Below are 18,540 nucleotides of genomic sequence, written 5' to 3'. Positions count from 1 at the left end.
TCGGCTCACTGCAGCCTCTGCTTCCCAGGTTCAAGCGATTCTATTGCCTCAGCCTCCCAAGTAGCTGGGACTACAGGCATGCGTCATCATGCCCAGCTAATTTTTGTATTTTTAGTAGAGACGTGGTTTCACCATGTTGGCCAGGCTGGTCTCGAACTCCTGACCTCAAGTGATCTGCCCACCTTGGCCTCCCAAAGTGCTGGGATTATAGGCATGAGCTACCATGCCTGGCCAAGTTACTGAAGTTTTTAATTAATATTTCAGTCTTTAAGTGATTTTGTCATACTTGTTTTCGCCCCCATTTCTGAGATGTATTTTTTGACCTCCGCTGACTTTATAGTGTTGTGTTTGCAGGGTTTACCCTTTGGAAGCGGATTTAATTCTTGCTGTTTTTAATCAGTTGAAAAACATTAGTACTGGGTCTTACCTAAAAGCTTAAACCTTCATACGTGCATTAGAATCAATGAAGCACCTTATAGGAAAGCAGAGTCCTGGACTGCAACCCCGTAGACTCTGATTTAGTAGGTCTCAGGGAGAGGCCCAAGGAATCTGAAGTTTTTGGTAATATTTAAGCCGATTCTAAAGCAGGTTCTGCTGATCATTCTGGGAAACACTGATTTTAAAAGATTGCATGGATTAGCCTAGATTAGCATGAATCTATTGGGTTTGTTAAACAAGAGCCTTTATTAAAATAAGAAGGTATCCGTGTTAATTTATAAAATTTAACACACAATTTAGACCAGAGCAAGATTTAAAGGACTATAAGCACTGAATACTCTGTGATGTGATTCCATTAATCGATATCTGCCAAGATGCCGATCTACGCAGGCAGTACCATTGCAGGACCATGGTGTCACATGCACAGCCATCATAACCTGCAAGCGTGTAACTGCAGAATGGTCAGTAGAGCCTGGAACAAGATAAATCTCTAACTAAGAAGTGTGAGCCTTAAAGGAGCACAGATTATTAGTGATTGATCACTTAAATGTAGCTCCGGGACTTCAGTGTTAATATTGCTGTCATGTAGCTCTATAAACAACGTTCTCTATTTATTTTATTTAAAAGTGGTCAAGAGAATTATTAATCCGACTGTGTGGTTCCATAGCCTTGTCTTAGAATGAGATCAGAATTCAGTGTTGTGTAGGTGTATACTTTTGATCTTCCCAGGGACTGGGCCCCTTTAAAGTATAGGTTTTTAGCATCATTTAACTGTTCATGCAACCACAGTGATTTCCCCTGAGAGAGACCCTGGCAGCATTTCTAGTTTCTGCATTTCCTTTCTGTTGCCTGCCACACAGGTGGGGAGCAGAGAAGCGAGGGTACCAGAGGATTCCAGTGATGCTGTGGGTGTGTCCGGGGTGACTGGATAGCAGTGCAGCATGGAGGTAGCTTTGTGGTCTTCCAGGTCTTACTGCCTGGGATGGATTTCCTACTTTCCCGTTACTAATTGTGTGGCCTTTGGTAAATTATTGAACCTGGAAGCCTCAGTTTCCTCCTATGAAAATAGGAATCATTGACTTATGGAGTCATCGGGAAGATTGAGTTAATGACCCTAGAGTGCTTAGCATGACAGTACCTGGCACAGAGAAAGTGCTCTGCAAATGCCAGTGCTGTTATTATTAATCAGATAGACTTTTTCTTCCTTAACATCCTACACTTAGAGATTTTAGCATTTACTGTTCATTAATCCGCTTAGGCTCCTAGTTTCTTATAACATGTTTCTAATTTTTAAAGGGATCAATTTCTTTTTTTTTTCTAGAGAATCCTTTTTAACAAGGCATAGATATTTGTATGTATATCCTAATCAGAGACATATGGCAGCTTCCGTGGACCCATAGTATAATGAGAGGATTATGGCTTTATCTTTATAAGATTATGTCATAAGCAATAAACTCTAAAGAAAAAGACAACCTCTTCCTTTGTTCCAGATAAATCTTCTGGGCGGTTCTTAATTTTTATCCATCAGTCTTGTTTTATAAGCAAAATGGTTACACTTTGGGATTTCTGAATTCTGTTTTCCATGTAATGGAACTTCGCTTAATTTTTTCCAGCTTGAGTACTCACTTGTGTAAACTGTCATCACAAAATTTCTCCCGAAGAGAGATAGGCCAGGCTTGCTCAGTGTGGTGTGGTCCCATGTGATGGCAACTGGGAACAGTGAGTGGGTGGGTGTTTCCTCTCTCACCCACTCCTGTTAGCCTTTCTGGTGTCTCTGTGCCCACCCACACATGATTTCTGACTGCTGCAGGACAATATGGAAGGCACCTTGTAACACTTTTATTATTGTTCTGGGTTAAAGAAATACCTGGAAGGTCATAGTGTTGTGCCAGTAATGTGCTACCTTCTAATAAATGTGTGTTTGTAATTAGAGACCAGAACTGCAAGGGTTTTAATAAGATTAGCTTTCCCTTTTCTGCTTAGTTTCTGGTATTAGCAGTGAGGACTTTAAGCAGTGATTTGTATTTTTTACTTCCTCTCTCAAAGATATTACAGATAGTGCAGTTTTTATCAGCTGCAGAAGGCAGCTGTTGAAGAAAGCTAATGTGATTGTTGAGAGCAGAGAATTGGATGATGGTAATGACCAGAATAGTTAACCTTTCGGAGCATACTGATTGCTTTTCCTCGTATTAAGCGTTGTGCATAGGATCATCTCATGTCAAATCCCCAGTAACCCTAGGAGAGAATGCTACAGAAACAGCCACGGTTCCACGGCTGGGAGTAGGGGTCTGGATTTGAATCCAGGCCCCTCCTTTTTAGCTTAGCCTGTATTCTTGCATGCCCAGTTCTTAAAGCCGGTCAAATCTGTGCAAAACACTCAAAATGAGGAGTGTTTCTAGGTTGCAGTGAAAACTGTTACTGTGATGAAACATTAGTTTCTAGGCCTGACATCCCCCACCTTTGACGTTGTTATTTTCCTTGATGCAAAAATGTCTAGTTCTAAGGGAGCACATAAAGAGGAGACATAAAAACAGTGGAATACCATACCTGTTTTCTAGATAATGGCCTAGTTTAAGGTTTTGCCTGGAAAATTCCCTCTCATTTTTTCCTTTTTTTTTTTTTAGGGCCATTTTTATATGTCTCTACCTCTGGCCTTTCTACCTTTTTTCCCCCTCTGCTAGAATGTTTATATGAATTGACACCTACCTGAAAGTAGTTCCAGACTTGACTTTGTTCAGTTTTACAGTAAAAATCTGCAGTTCTTGTACAGTTTTGGCAATTCAGTGCAGGGTATTACGTATTTCATTAGAATTAAAAACTTGATCCATGCTGTTTTATTGGACAGTGTTTCCTTTTTAGCTAAGGGGATAAAGGTCCTTTACTCATCATCTCATTTGGGAAATAAATCTCTTTCTTTCTGTCTGTCTCCCTCATTCTTCCTCTTGTGCTCTGTCTCTATTCTCTTTGAATATTATATTGAATATAATATTGAATATTATGGTTGACCAAATGAATATTATATTGAATATACCATTGAATATTATGGATGACCAAATGACAGAAGAGGATAACATAGATAATAATAAGGTACATATCTTGAAGGACAAGCTGTAAAATAAGTAAAAAGTATGTTCTTCAAAACACTTCTAGCAACTTCATGCTATTTCTTCATATTTCTGCAAGCTGGGTCTATCTCTGGTTTTGTTTAGTGTTTATAGGGTACACATGATTTTGGCAGGTGGGAGAACGTTTCGTTCCTTAACCTTGTGTGGGTTCACCTGCATGGTATGTGTATTTCAGCATACACGGGGAGCTCTATAATTTTAGTCCTGTCCTGGGTTATGCCAGTCTGTAAAACAGGAAAGTAAAAAGTCACAGAGCTGTTCATTAAATGAGATAGTTATAGAAAGTCATTTGAAAAGCAGGGAGCTATTTTACAAGTATGGGCCTTTGTTTGTGATGTAAACGTAGACATTGACAAGGGCCAGTTGTTAGAATGACTTAAAAATACAATCCAGAACCCTGAAGGTACAATAAAGACCTAAGATGGAATATTTAATCATTGTGTTCTTACTTGAAATCCCAACCGTGCTGTCTTGGATGGTCAGTAGAGACTTCCAGTGAACTGGCTTTGGTGGGGCTTTAGAAAGACACCTATTGAAGGCACATCACATGGGAAAAGCAGGAGCAAGAGAGAGAAAGGGGGAGGGGCACATACATTTAAACAGCCAGATCTCGAGAGAACTCTTGGAATTAATTATATTTTACTTAAATTTCTTTAGCCTGAATTCTAGAAAAAAATGTACAGTGGTAGAAGGAATGGGGTGGGATGGGATGGGACAGGGTAAGAATAGATTATAATTCTTCTGTGTTTTTAAATATTCAGGCAGATTAATATGTGATATGATGCTTACCCTTGGTTAAAGATCTACATTTTTTGTTTTCTCTTGCAGCAATGACTTGACTTGAAGAGCTCTAAGAGACTGAAAACTTATATGAAGTTGCCTTGGGAATATTTTTATATATTTTATACAGTTTCTATCATGGAGTCAGCAGGCACGTGGATAAAACCTAAAAGGGAATATTATTGCTGTGCCATATACAGAATTCAGTTTGCTTTGAAACAAGTTTTGGTTGAAAGAGTCTGTTGAAAATTTTATTATACTTCCAGGGAAGGAAAGAGCTGTTTTTATCTTCTTAACCACTCCCAGCCTCTACTCTTCCCAGCCCCTAATCCCAGGCCTTGGTGTACACACTGTAGTTTTTCCATTATGATGAGTATGTGCAGTGATACTATTCATGTACAGTCTGAGCTTATGCTCAGGGGTGTGTGTGTATATGTGTATGCATGTGTGCACGTGAGTGTGTGTTTCTTTTTCCAGTTCCTGCATCCTATTTTGACACTGGTTGTAAGAAGATCTTGATACATACAGGTTAGCTGTTACAAAAGATAAAAGATGAATCTTCAGTGGTAAAAGCTCAGTGGAAATAATCTAGTTAGCCCTGAGGAGTTGATTCCCCAAGGGACCATGGAGTCAGATGGGACCAGATGCTAGACTTTGGATTCCTTGACCACAAATTCAGCATTAACTCCTGCCACCACCATGTCACTCCTACAGCACTTACACATTTTGAGAAGGTTTTTTTTTTTTTTTTTTTGAGGCAGAGTCTCGCTGTGTCCCCTAGGCTGGAGTGCAGTGGCACAATCTCCACTCACCTCAATCTCCACCTCCCCAGGTTCAAGCGATTCTCCTGCCTCAGCCTCCCAAGTAGCTGGGATTACAGGCATGCACCACCACGCTCGACTAATTTTTGTATTTTTAGTAGAGACGGGGTATCACTATATTGGTCAGGCTGGTCTTGAACTCCTGACCTCAGGCGATCTACCCGCCTCGGCCTCCCAAAGTGCTGGGAATATAGGCGTGGGCCACTGCACCCGGTTTTTTGTTTTTTTTTGTTTTTTTTTTTTTTTTAACCTTTAGCTGAGCGATTCTTGGTTAATCCATTGAATAAAGGAGAAAATGGTTGAAAGTCACACACACACAAATTTGTTTGGACAACCCAAGGCCAAAACAAAAGAACCCTGCTTCTCTCTTTTTTTTTTTTTTTTTTTTTTTTTGAGGCGGAGTCTCGCTCTGTCGCCCAGGCTGGAGTGCAGTGGCACGATCTCAGCTCACTGCAAGCTCCACCTTCTGAGTTCACGCCATTCTCCTGCCTCAGCCTCCTGAGTAGCTGGGACTACAGGTGCCCACCACCACGCTTGGCTTATTTTTTTTGTATTTTTAGGAGAGACGGGGTTTCACCGCATTAGCGAAGATGGTCTCGATCTCCTGACCTCGTGATCCACCCGCCTCGGCCTCCCAAAGTTCTGGGATTACAGGCTTGAGCCACTGCGCCCGGCCTAGAACCCTGCTTCTCATATAAGATGGGCCTGCACCTACCTCTGGCATGTTTTTCTTTGTGTATTTCCTGTTTTTCATCCTGTAACTAATGCTCATTATTTAAAACACTCCAGTTACTTTTCCCTTTAGGCCTGGCAAACTTTTCTTTTTCTTTTTTTTTTTTATAACTGTACATTTTACAAAACACCTGAAAGGACCCAGAGGCATAAATAGTATTACATGATTTATGGTAGCTCTGGGGTGAGCTGTGGGGGAGGCCAGTTACAAGGTCTCCAAGACCCGCCTCCATGTCAGTGTTGGGGGGTGCCTTGAGCACTTCTTTTATTTCATATAGGAAAATGCACATCTTTCATTTGTCTCCCAAAAGATGATTTCCATAAAAATATACTTCAAAGTATTTACTGTACATAGACTTCAATGATTTTATTTCCAGCATCAAACTAAACATTTCTAACCTTTTAAATAAATGGGGAATTTAGTTTCATGAGAATTTTTACTGACAACTAATAAACACTGTATGTGTACATATTCATATACACTGTGGACTGGAGAAAGTCAGTATGGAAATAAATTTCACTGAGATCCAGAAAGTAGCAATATAGGACTTTTAGGGGTATGTATTAGTGTAAATAATATATGTGCAGTCTAGGCTAATCATTTTAATTAAAAACAAATAAGCATACTTTTTTGCTTTAAAAATATGCCCTCAAAATGGTGGGGGATAAAATGTAAGATATTCTTTAGCTTTAATTATTTTTCCATCTTATTCAAGTCAGAGCACTTTTTTTTAAATAGCAATACAACAGGCAAGAGAATACTCAAAAATATTTAAAACTGTATTGATACCAAGAGTATGTTTTAAATATTTTCTAATAAATACTTGAGCGGTTTTTGTCTGGCAGGCTTCCAAATTTGCCAAAATTAAGCGTTCAGTATTTTCAACACATACGCTTTTTACTGGTTTATACTGAACTATCTGATGAGAATTCCTGTGTTCCCAAAGCAACTGATGTTTACAGGTCTTGTGTTACTCCTCCTCCTTTCTAAGGATGAGGGAATCCACAACAGACTTTCTCTAGAAAACACTAATGATGGACAACTTTTTGGTGTCATCAATGAGTTGGCTACTACCTTGATGTAAAAATTTGTAAGGAAAATTTTCACCATTTCGAGTGTCAAGTGTATTTTTAACTGTCTGGTTTGTACTTTTATGACTTTTGTACTACCAAAGCGGAGTTAAAAATAAAAATGTTAAACGCAGTGTGTTGTCTTGTGGGTGATCCAATTATTGGCGCCTTGTACACTGGAAATACAGTCGTGGCAGTATAATTATTGAGCTTAATTTTTTACAGTGCTGAATTTCTTGTGTCTTGAAATATCAAGTGATCACTTGGCTGACTTTCCTCATGAGATTTCCCCTCCTGCAGTACCCCTTCCCCTAACACAGGCATACTTTGGAGATACTGTGGGTTCAGCCCCGGCCTACTGCAGTAAAGCAAATATTGCAATCAAGCCAGCCACATGAGCTTTTTGGTTTCCCACTGCATATAAAAAAGTTATATTTATACTATACTATAGTCTATTAAGTATATGCAATAATATTCTGTCAAAAAACATACATACCTTAATTTAAAATACTTTTTATTGCTAAAAAAAAATACGATAATCTGAGCCTTCAGCAAGTCATAATCTTTTTGCTGCTGCAGGATCTTGCCTCAATGTTGAAGGCTACTGACCAGGGTGGTGGTTACTGAAGGTTGGGGTGGCTGTGGCAATTTCTTAAAATAACACAGTGATAAAGTTTGCTGCACTGATTGACCTCACCTTTCATGAAAGTTTTCTCTATAGCATGCAGTACTGTTTGATAGCATTTTATCACAGTAGAACATCTTTCAAAATTGGAGTCAATCATCTCAAAATCTGATGCTGCTTTATCAACTAAGTTTATGTATTATTATATTCTAAATCCTTTGCTGTCATTTCAACAGTGTTCACAGCATCTTCACCAGGAGTAGATGCCATCTCAGGAAACCACTTTCTTTCATCATCTGTTAAGCAATTCCTCATCTATTCAAGTTTTATCATGAGATGGCAGCAATTCAGTTCAATCTTCATGCTCACTTCTGATTCTAGTTCTGCTGCTGTTTCCACCACATCTGCAGTGACTTCCTCCACTGAAGTCTTGAACCCCTCCAAGTCATCTGTGAGGGTTGGAATCAACTTCCAGACTCCTGTTAATGTCTCTATTTTTACCTCCTGTGAATCAAAAATGTTCTTAATGGCATCTAGAATGGTGAATTCCTTCCAGAAGATTTCAATTGACTTTACTGAGGTCCACTAGAGGAATCACTGTCTACGGCGGCTGTAGCCTTATGAAATGCCTTTCTTAAATAATTAGACTTGAAAGTGGGAATTAATCTATGGGCTGCAGAATGGATGTTGTGTTAGCAGGCATGAAAGCATTTCTCCCTTTGTACATCTCCATAAGAGCTCTTGGGTAACTGACCAGGTCCTTGTCAATGAGTTATTATTTTGAATGGAATCTTTTTTTCTGAGCAGTAGGTCTCAACAGTGGGCTTTAAATGTTCAGTAAACCATGCTGTCAACAGATGTGCTGTTATCTAGGCTGTTTACAGGCAGAGTCGATTTAGCATAATTCTTAAGGGCCTTATGATTTTCAAGATGGTAAATGAGCATTGGCTTCAACCTAAAGTTGACAGCTATGTTAGCCCCTAAAATGAGAGCCTGTGCTTTTGAGGTTTTGAAGCCAGGCATTGACTTCTCAACTATGAAAATCCTAGATGTCATCTCCTTCCAAATCTGTTTTTTCATTTAGCCACCTTCATCCATGATCTTACCTAGATTTTCTGGATTATTTACTGCAGTTTCTAAATTAGCACTTGCTGCTTCACTTTGTACTTCTGTATAATGGCAATGGTTTCTTTAGTTAATCCTTATGAACTGGCTGGGTGCAGTGGCTCATGCCTGTAATCCCAGCACTTTGGGAGGCTGAGGCGGGCTGATTGCTTGAGGTCAGGAGTTTGAGACCAACCTGGCCAACACGGCGAAACCCTGTCTCCACTAAAAATACAAAAACTAGCTGGGCATAATGGTGCACACCTGTAATCTCAGCTACTCAGGAGGCTGCAGTAGAAGGATCACTTGAATCCGGGAGATAGAGATTGCAGTCACTGCACACCAGCCTGGGTGACAGAGCTAGACTCTGTCTCAAAAAAAAAAAAAAAAATTAAATTTAAAAATCTTATGAACCAACGTCTGCTGGCTTCCAACCTTTTTTCTGCAGCTTCCTACCTTTTTTCTGCAGCTTCCTCACTTCTTTCAGTCATTATAGAACTGAAGAGTTAGGACCTTGCTCTGTATTAGGCTTGGGCTTAAGGGAATGTTGTGGCTGGTTTGATTTTTTTATCCAGGCCACTGAATCTGTCTCCGTATCAGCAATAAGGCTGTTGCACTTTCTTATCATTCGTGTATTTGCTAGAGTAGCATTTTAAATTTTCTTCAAAACTTTTGCTTTGCTTTGCATTCACAACTTAACTATTTGGTACAGGAGGCCTAATTTTCTGCCTGTCTCGGCTTTTGACACGCCTTAATCATTTCTAGCTTTTTATTTAAGGTGAGATGCATGTGACCCTTCCTTTCACTTGAGCAGTGAGAAGCCATTGTAGGGTTACTAACTGGCCTAATTTTAATATTTTGTCTCAGGGAATAGGGAGGCCTGAGGAGAGGGAGAGAGACGGGAACGGCTGGTTGGTCGGGCAGTTGGAACACACATGCACAGCATTTACAGATTAAGTTTGTCATTTTATGTGGGCACAGTTCATGTCATCCCAAAACAATTACAATAGTAACATCAGAAATCGCTGATCACGGATCACTATAATAGATATAATAATAATTAATTGAAAAGTTTGAAATATTTCAAGAATTACCCATATGTGACACAGGGACATGAGTGAGCACATGCTGTTGGAAAAGTGGTGCTGATGGCTGGGCGCAGTGGCTCACGCCTGTAATCCCTGCACTTTGGGAGGCCGAGGCAGGCGGATCACGAGGTCAGGAGACCGAGACCATCCTGGCCACCATGGTGAAACCTTGTCTTTACTAACATACAAAAAAAAGAAAAAAATTAGCCAGGTGTGGTGGTGCGTGTCTATATCCCCAGCTACTTGGGAGGCTGAGGCAGGGGAATTGCTTGAACCTGGGAAGAGGAGGTTGCAGTGAGCTGAGATTGTGCCGCTGCACTCCTGCCTGGGCGACAGAGCAAGACTCCACCTCAAAAAAAAAAAAAAAAAAGAAAAGAAAGAAAAGTGCTGATGGACCTTCTCGACTTGCAGGGTTGCCACACACGTACGGTTCATTAAAAAACAAAACAAAAACAAACAAGAAAACCCTACAATATCTGCAAAGCACACTACAGCAAAGTGCAATAAAATGAGGTATGCCTGTTACTGCTTTTTAAATTTGAAGATAATTTTGGACTTGTAGAAGAGTTGCAAAAGCAGTACAGAGTTCATGTAAACCCTTCCCTCCATTTCCCCGTATGTTACCATCTTAACTATAAAAAAGTGATCACAACTAAAAAACTAACAGTGGTACAGTACCATTCATTAAACCACAACGTTCTTTGGATTGCATCCATTGTCTCACTAATGTCCCCCTGCTGTTCCAGGATCACCCACTGCATTTAGTTGTTGGATCCTGTCCCCTCTGATCTGTGGTTGCCCTTTAGTCTTTTCTTGTGTTTCGTGATCTTGACACTCGAATGTACTGATCAGTTCTTTTGTAGACTCTCCCTCAACCTAGGTGTTTCAGCTGATTCTTGTGATTAGACGGAGGTTTTGCATAAGGGAAGGGACACCATACAGGTGATGTGCCCTTCCCATTGAATCATGTCAGGAACGTGATGGTACATATTACCCGTGATGTCAATCTTCATCATTGCCCAAGGTGGTGTCTGCCAGGTTTCATTTTGGTAAAGTTACTATTTTCCCTTTGTAATTAATGAATATTAGATGGGAGATACTTAGAGATTAGGCCAATATCTTATTTCTGCTTAAACTTTCACACATTAATTTTACCATCTGTATGAGTTTTCTAGGGCTACCATAACAAATTACCAAAACCTGGGTGCCCCAGAACACAGAAGTGTATTCTTTCACAGTCTAAAAAGCCAGACCCTGAAGTCAAGGTGTCTGCAGGGTTGATTCCTTCTGATATCTCTGGGGTATAATCTGGCCCATGCCTCCCTCCCAGCTTCTGATGGTTGCTGGCAATTCTGGCATTCTGTGTCTTCTTTCCTGTGTGAGGGAGTCCTCTGCTCTTACAAGGACACCAGGCATTGGGTTTAGGGTCCACCCTAATCCAGTATGACTTTATCTTAACTTGATTACATTTGCAGAGAACCCATTTCCTGATAAGGTCATATCCACAGGTCTCAGAAGGTAGGACTTCAACATCAACAGGTCTTGTGGGGGATATCATTCAACCCACCACACCAACCATTGGTGGATCCTGGCTGCAGTGGCTATGTCTGTGGTAGGAGCCCTTTCAGGTTGGTGCCCATGTCCCTTGATGTGGTTCCATCCTTTACTTTTCTCCTTCCTCCACCTATTACACACTCTTTCTTTCTTTCTCTTGTCTTCTTTCCTTTTTCTTTCTTTCCTTCTTTCTTTCTTCTTTCTCTTTCTTTCTTCTTTCTCCTTTTTTTCTTTCTTTTCTTTCTCTCTCTCCCTTCCTTCCTTCTCCTCCTCCTTCTCCTCCTCCTCCTTCTTCTTGCCTTCCATCCTTCCCCTTTCTTGCATCTTTTTCCTTCCTTCCCTTTCTTCTTTTTCTTTCTTTCTCCTTCCTTCTCTTTCTCTTCCTCCTTTCTTCTACCCTCTCTTCCTTCTTCCCTTCCTTCCTCCCTCCCTCTCTCCTTCCCTTCCTCTTTCTCTCCTTCTCTCTCTCCCTCCCTCCCTTCCTTCCTCTTTCTTCCTTTCTTTCTCTTTCTTTCCTTCTTTCCTTTCTCTTTCTTTTCTTTTCTTTTCCTTCTTTCTTTCTTTCTTTCTTTCTTTCTTTCTTTCTTTCTTTCTTTCTTTCTCTTTCTTTCTCTCTCTCTCTCTCTCTCTTTCTTTATTCTTTTTCTTTCTTTCTTGACAAAGTCTCACTCTGTCGCCCAGGCCAGAGTGCAGTGGTACAATCTCGACTCGCTGCAACGTTTGCCTCCCAGGCTCAAGTGGTTCTTCTGCCTCAGCCTCCTGAGTAGCTGGGATTACAAGCATACGCCACCACACCTGGCTACATTTTGTATTTTTAGTAGAGACAGGGTTTCACCATGTTGGCCAGGCTGGTTTTGAACTCCTGGCCTCAAGTGATCCACCTACCTCAGCCTTCCAAAGTGCTAGGATTACAGGTCCTTTCTTTTTTGAAAGCCCTTTATTACTTTCTGGCACCACAAGATTCTCCAGGTTCATCTTGTCTTGTATTTTCCTTGCCCCAGCCCTGAAATCAACCACTAACCCAAGGAGCCCTGGTTCCTTTTATTGGACAATGATGTTTAGAAATAAAGAGGACTAGGTGTCCTCATTGATGCTGGGATGTCACAGCTACTAGGCCCCCTGTACACACATATATACATACACACACACCAACCCATGCGGATACACACATCTTTATGTATTTTTTGTATCTATCTGTAAAACAAAAGCATGTGCCCACACTGCTACTTCTGACTCCAGGCTTGCTCCATAGTACTCGTTCTAAGCTTCCTGCTTTCCTTATTTGTAACTTTCTTCTCCAACAGTGAGGAAACCTGGCTCTTATTATCTATGATATTTTTACATGTTTATTCAACACTAGCATACATATTAAGTAGTTTGAAAATATATTACTGTGAGAAACACACTTTCCAACTGAAGTACTGTGTGTATGTGTGTGTCTCTGTGTGTGTATGTGTGTGTCTGTGTGTGTGTGTCTGTGTGTGTGTGTGTGTGTCTGTGTGTGTGTCTGTGTGTATGTGTGTGTGTGTCTGTGTGTGTGTGTCTGTGTGTGTGTCTGTGTGTATGTGTGTGTCTGTGTGTGTGTCTGTGTGTGTGTCTGTGTGTGTGTCTGTGTGTGTCTGTGTGTGTGTGTGGTTCTTGTTTTTAGCCTTACAGTATTCTGTCAAAACTGTATTTGCCAAAGTTTCTTAAGTCAGCTCCTTTGTTCCCCACCCGCTTCTGCATGGTAATGTGACTCATTTGTAACACAGAGTCATTTGTCACCATCTGCATTCCATCTCTCCTTCATATCCTGGTTGAGATTTTTAAAATGTATAGACAGCAAACTTCACTCTGTGTGGTACCTCATAGGATTCTGATTTGGAGTGTGCGTGTGTGTGTGCGCGTGTGTATGTCCTTGAAAACAAGATGATCAATAACAGCTTATGCTGAGGAAGTGGAAAGGTTGATTTGGTCATTTGTGACCAAGTCACAACATGAGAACCAGAAACTCAGAATGTGTGCACTAGGATGGATGTTAGAATTCCTCCAATCCCGATTTATAGTTGAAAGGGGTCACTTGGGGACGACGGGCTTAGTTTTTGGTTAATTGGCCTTTTTGATATCCCCTCTAGTACATGTGTAATGTAGAATGGGGACGTTTGGTCACTAACTGGCTTTCATGTCTTTCTTGGCTCATTAGGGGAGTAGTGGGCAGCTGGCAATGTGGCACATATGACCCTTCTGTTCCCCATGGTGACGGACGCTAGCCTCACAACGCTGGCCCTGAACAATTGGTTCAGCAAGCTCCCCACCCTGGCAGTTCCAGCACTTTGGGAGGCCAAGGTGGGCAGATTGCTTGAGCTCAGGAGTTTGAGACCAGCCTGGGCAACGTGAAAAAACCCTGACTCTTTGAAAAATACAAAAGAAAGTAGCCGAGCATGATGGCCCGTGCCTGCAGTCCCAGCTACTTGGGAGGCTCAGATGGGAGGATTGCTTAAGCCTGCGAGGTCAAGGCTCTGGCGAGCCATAATTGTGCCATTGCATTCAAGCCTAGGTGACAGAGTGAGACTCTGTCTCAAACAAACAAACAAACAACAACAACAAAAAAAAGCAACCAGCACTGCCTGTTTTCCCTCTGCACATTCCCTCCCTTTCCTCACACCAGGAAAGAAGACTACACAGCAGGAAATATAGTCTCCACCAGCCCCCTGGGTGAATTTGCCAGGGGGCCTGCCCATGGTCTTGAATGCTCCTGCACTTCTTTTTCAAATCTGTCTTCACATCCAGGCTTCCTCCACCCCAAAAGGCGGGGAACCCTTCCTTCTGTCTCACTGAGGACAGTAGAGTTGGGGGCTTGGAAATGGCGTCGCGCGATTTAGTGCATAGTATCACTGAGGGCGTGTTGTGTGGTCAAAGAGGACTATGTTTTGTATCTGAGGTTTGACTTGCCAGTTCTTAGATCCTCCGACCCTTTAGTCTGGGTGGGGCATGTTGGTTCTACCCAAGGATTCCCTCCTCTCCTCATCTTCCCAGAACCATGCTGCAGGACTGTTCTCAGATCTCCCCAGGGTACCCTCACTGTAGCTCTAAACACCTAAAGGACAGCTGGGACTTCTTTGTCTTGGGCATTTTGTGGCGTGGCCAGGGGGTGGTGTGGCTGCCCACGCGGTTCAGCTGGTGTCCAGCTCTGCAGGTCCTCCCACAGAGCTGGCCCTTCGCTCCCTCTGCTGGCCGAATCGGAGAACTGCACGGCCGTTGGGGGGTTGGTGCTGTATCTTCCTTCAAGCCCTGGTGTTGCAGAAAGTACTCGTGATTTTTTGCTGAATGAATAAATAAACAAAAGCCCACCTTTAAAAACGAAAGACTACCATTAGCTATTTTGTGAGAGTAAAGGTTCAAGTCTAGTTTTTTTCTAACTGATTTTCTGGCACTGCCAGTTTGTCTTTATTGTTTTTCTCATCGGACGCTCCATTTTCTCACCTGGGAGCTTGTGTCACTGCAGGTGTTACCTGGATACTGGTGAGAATGATTCGGTTCCGCTTTGGAGGGAACCCCGCGCGCTGAATGCTGTCATGGAAGTGGTGTGGTCTCAGAGAAGTAGGCACGACCTTTGCTGTTGCGTTTGAGCCCCACACTCACCACTGTGTGACATTGAGAAAGGTATCTTATCTTTCTGAGCCTCAATGCCATCTGTAAAATGACCTGTCTCACAGGAGTTTTAAGGATCAGAAAAATGCCTGCAAATCCTCTGTCTTCTCATCCACCCCTACCGAGGGCGCGACTGCTGTAAGCGGCATGTTTGGTAACTTGGTGAAGGGTCTACATGCGTCCATCCCCCACGGCTGATCAGAGTGGCTGTGACTGGTCCAGCACACACAACTTTGTCTGAGTCGAGTTGAGCCGGCCAGTTGCTTGCTGTGGAACTGAGCCACAGAGTTCCATAGCCTCATGGGGAAGCCCATGAGGGTTCCCATGGCTAAAGGTACAGCATTAGCCGCCAGAGCAATAAACCATTTTCTCCAGCAAATGGGCTGGAAAAAATGGTTTATTGCTCTGGTGGCTAAAGCTGTGGGCTAGGGGCTGGTGAAGACCATATTTCCTGCTGTGTAGTCTTCTTTCCTGGTGTGATGAAAGGGAGGGAATGTGCGGAGGGAAGACAGGCAGTGCTGGTTGCTTTTTTTTTTTTTTTTTTGGTTTGAGACAGAGTCTCACTCTGTCACCTAGGCTTGAATGCAGTGGCACAATCATGGCTCACCAGAGCCTCGACCTCCCAGGCTCAAGCAATCCTCCCACCTGAGCCTCCCAAGTAGCTGGGACTGCAGGCACAGGCCATCATGCTCAGCTACTTTATTTTGTATTTTTCAAAGAGACAGGTTTTTTTCACGTTGCCCAGGCTGGTCTCGAACTCCTGAGCTCAAACGATCTGCCCACCTCAGCCTCCCAAAGTGCTGGAACTACAGGCATGAGCCACTGTGCCCAGCCTGGTTGCTTTCAAGCCCCAGATTCAGTTGTCCCCAAGGCCTAGTTGCCCTTCTGAACTTCACGAACATTTCAAGGAAATTCTTTTGTTATCTAGTTTGGGTTTCTGTCATTTGCAACCAACCAACCAAACCAACAAAAAGAACTCATGACTAATGCAGTTATTTGCAGAAACGTAGCTATAGGAGGAGTTATAGAGCCACATGGAAAGTGAAGCTCTGGCATCCAGCCCTGCAGCTGAGACTTCCTAGAGCTGCCTTCACTCCATCGCCAGAAGGCCTGGCCATGGTGCGGTTTCTGTTGTGAAATGCTTTTGCAAACCCTTTTCCTTTTATTGCTTCAGGAGAATTTCCTTTCACCATCTTTCCTGGATTGGCACAGGGCTCATTCTTACAGCTCCCGATAAGAGCACAGATTTGGCATTCAGATGCCTTTGCTGTCTGTGACCTTAAACTCTTTGGACCCCGTCTTCTAACTACAGAATGAAGATAATATGTGCCTTTTAGGGTGGTTGTGAGGATCATATGAGCTCAGATGTGTAATGCACTTAGTACAGGCCAGGCACAGTCAGTGCTCACTCAGTGGTCTCTCAGATGAAACAGAACAATCTATTGGCCACAGAGATGCCAAGTTCCAACCCTCTGTAGTGGAATAAATGATGGGGATTTTGCCTTTTGAGAGTTAGTTTTTGATGTTTCTGCCACAGCCATATTGTTTATAACATTCGAAGGTGGGCTGGGGGCGGAACCAGGTACAAGATGTAACTGCAAAGCCTATGGGGCCTGAGGTTCTCCTGATGGCAGGTCAACTGCCTTATTGGAAAGAATGACTTTCTTGCCTTGACTGATGTTGAATGAACCCAGATCTACCAGCTAAGGAGCATGGTCTCTTCCTCTGTTTGTTCAGGCTGAAATTTTATCTTAACCCTTTTATGACAAGATGTGCATGTAGCATAGGCATCTCAGTGAGTTTAAAAGTAACTCAATTTATTTTCATTCCTAAGTTAATCTAGCTGAGAAATCATAGACAAAATACTCTTGAAATCATAACATTATACCCAAATTGAAAAAATATATGGGTTTACTTATTACAGATGAATATTAGTGTTGACCAAATCAAACAAAAACTACACACACACACACACACACACACACGCACAAATCCATACTAAATAAAACCCAAGCCAGACACAACCTCTCCAAAATAACCAATCAACCCTCCCAAATCTTCCATGGTTTCTGTTTTGTATTAAAAATGCATTTTATTTTATAAAATCTTATTTGGGGCATGAGGAAAGATAAAAGAAAGGTCAATTTTAATGCTATAAATATTCACTTCAAATGCAATGTGACTTAAAGTTCAAAGGATAAATTCCCGTGTGTTCTACAATTGTTAAATGATGAAGATAATGAGAATAAAAATACACTAAAATTGAAGTGCCCCCAAGATGCATTTTTGCCTTTAGACGATTATTAATGATGTAGGTAGAACAGAACTTACCCAGTTTAGAAATTAGTATTATTAGAAGTGATTCATACAGCTTTGGTGGGTAGCAACAAAGATCTAGTTATTTAAAAAAGCATTGAGTGTTACTCATAGAAGTGGGCCAGTGACCTTCGCTGGATAATAAAAGTACATCTAACTTTTTTTTTTTTTTTTTTTTTTGAGATGGAGTCTCGCTCTGTCACCCAGGCTGGAGTGCAGTGGCGCAATCTTGGCTCACTGCAACCTCCGCCCCCTGGATTAAAGCAATTCTCCTGCCTCAGCCTCCAGAGTAGCTGGGATTACAGGTGTGCACCACCACGCCTGGCTAATTTTTATATTTTTAGTAGAGACAGGGTTTTGCCACGTTGGCCAGGCTGGTCTTGAATTCCTGACATCAAGTGATGCGCCTGCCTCGGCCTCCCGGAGTGCTGGGTTTACAGGCGTGAGCCACTGTACTCGGACAAAATTACATCTAACATTTATTGTTTACTTTGTGCTGGGTACGTGCTAAGCACTTTTTATCTCATTTAAATCTCATTATGGCCGAGAGAGGGGCCTAGCCATCACCTCCACTATACAGATGATGAAACTGAGGAAAGGAATCTTAAGCTATGTAGGGGTGGTTCATGGGTGGGGACATATGGCCCCTGGATCTGCCTCAACCTTTGTAGGGAAAGGAAATTCATGGTCTTACGATTGCCGCAAAAATACCATTGACAGTAGACAGTCTCAGAGATTTTACAGATAAAGCTGAAGCTGTCCTCACAGGGTTAACAAGAATTCTGGATTAAGCATTAATCAGGCTGTACTTTGGCCCACTTCCTTGTCACCAAAAGTCCTGTAGTAGCACTAGATCCTGGCCATGTGCATCCCCATTGTTCCTATAGATAGGATTTCTGACATTAGAATCATAAAGCTTTTGTTAGAATTGCTTAAGGTGTTTTCCCCCAAATTCCAGTGAAACAGCTGACAGCCAACCCACCCAGACAAATGGGATCAGCATGAGAATACAGTTTCTTCATCACCCTGTCCCATGACTTCACCCTGTACTCTTCGACCAATCAACTATCACCACACTTAGGCTTACTCCAAACCCTTTAAAATGCCTAGCCCCAAACTCCTCAGGGAGACAGATTTGAGGTTTCCTTCCATCTCCTCGTTCAGCGGCCCTCCCATTAAACCTCTTGCTCTGCGGCAACCCCGTGTCTCAGCTATTGACTTGCGGCACGTTGGGCAGCAGACCTATTATGGTTACA

At 42.2% G+C, this 18,540-nt stretch overlaps 1 protein-coding gene across 9 annotated transcripts in view, besides 1 other annotated feature; it reads left to right on the top strand.

Annotated features, from left to right (window-relative positions):
• RELL1 (RELT like 1) overlaps positions 1 to 18,540 on the top strand; it is a 100,073-nt gene that overhangs the window by 68,643 nt on the left and 12,890 nt on the right. For 2 of the 9 annotated variants that reach the window (NM_001085400.2, XM_017008590.3), the window contains one exon: positions 4,392 to 7,100. The exons of the other annotated variants lie outside the window; for them this stretch is intronic. The gene's annotated coding sequence lies outside the window, so the exon portion shown is untranslated. Of the gene's footprint in view, positions 1 to 4,391; positions 7,101 to 18,540 lie in introns of those variants that run through there. 9 annotated transcript variants of the gene reach the window in all.
• Positions 10,214 to 10,853: an enhancer, noted in NCBI's record as "OCT4-NANOG hESC enhancer chr4:37608503-37609142 (GRCh37/hg19 assembly coordinates)". NCBI's record gives its function as "activates a minimal SCP1, AML or CMV promoter by ChIP-STARR-seq in naive H9 embryonic stem cells {active_cell/tissue: H9 hESC(naive)}" and the evidence as "EXISTENCE:reporter gene assay evidence [ECO:0000049][PMID:30033119]".

Source organism: Homo sapiens, chromosome 4, assembly GCF_000001405.40.
Source record: "Homo sapiens chromosome 4, GRCh38.p14 Primary Assembly".
NCBI lineage: Eukaryota > Metazoa > Chordata > Mammalia > Primates > Hominidae > Homo > Homo sapiens.
The sequence above is the reverse complement of the archived record's forward strand: the minus strand, read 5'-3'. Positions and strand labels throughout refer to the sequence as shown.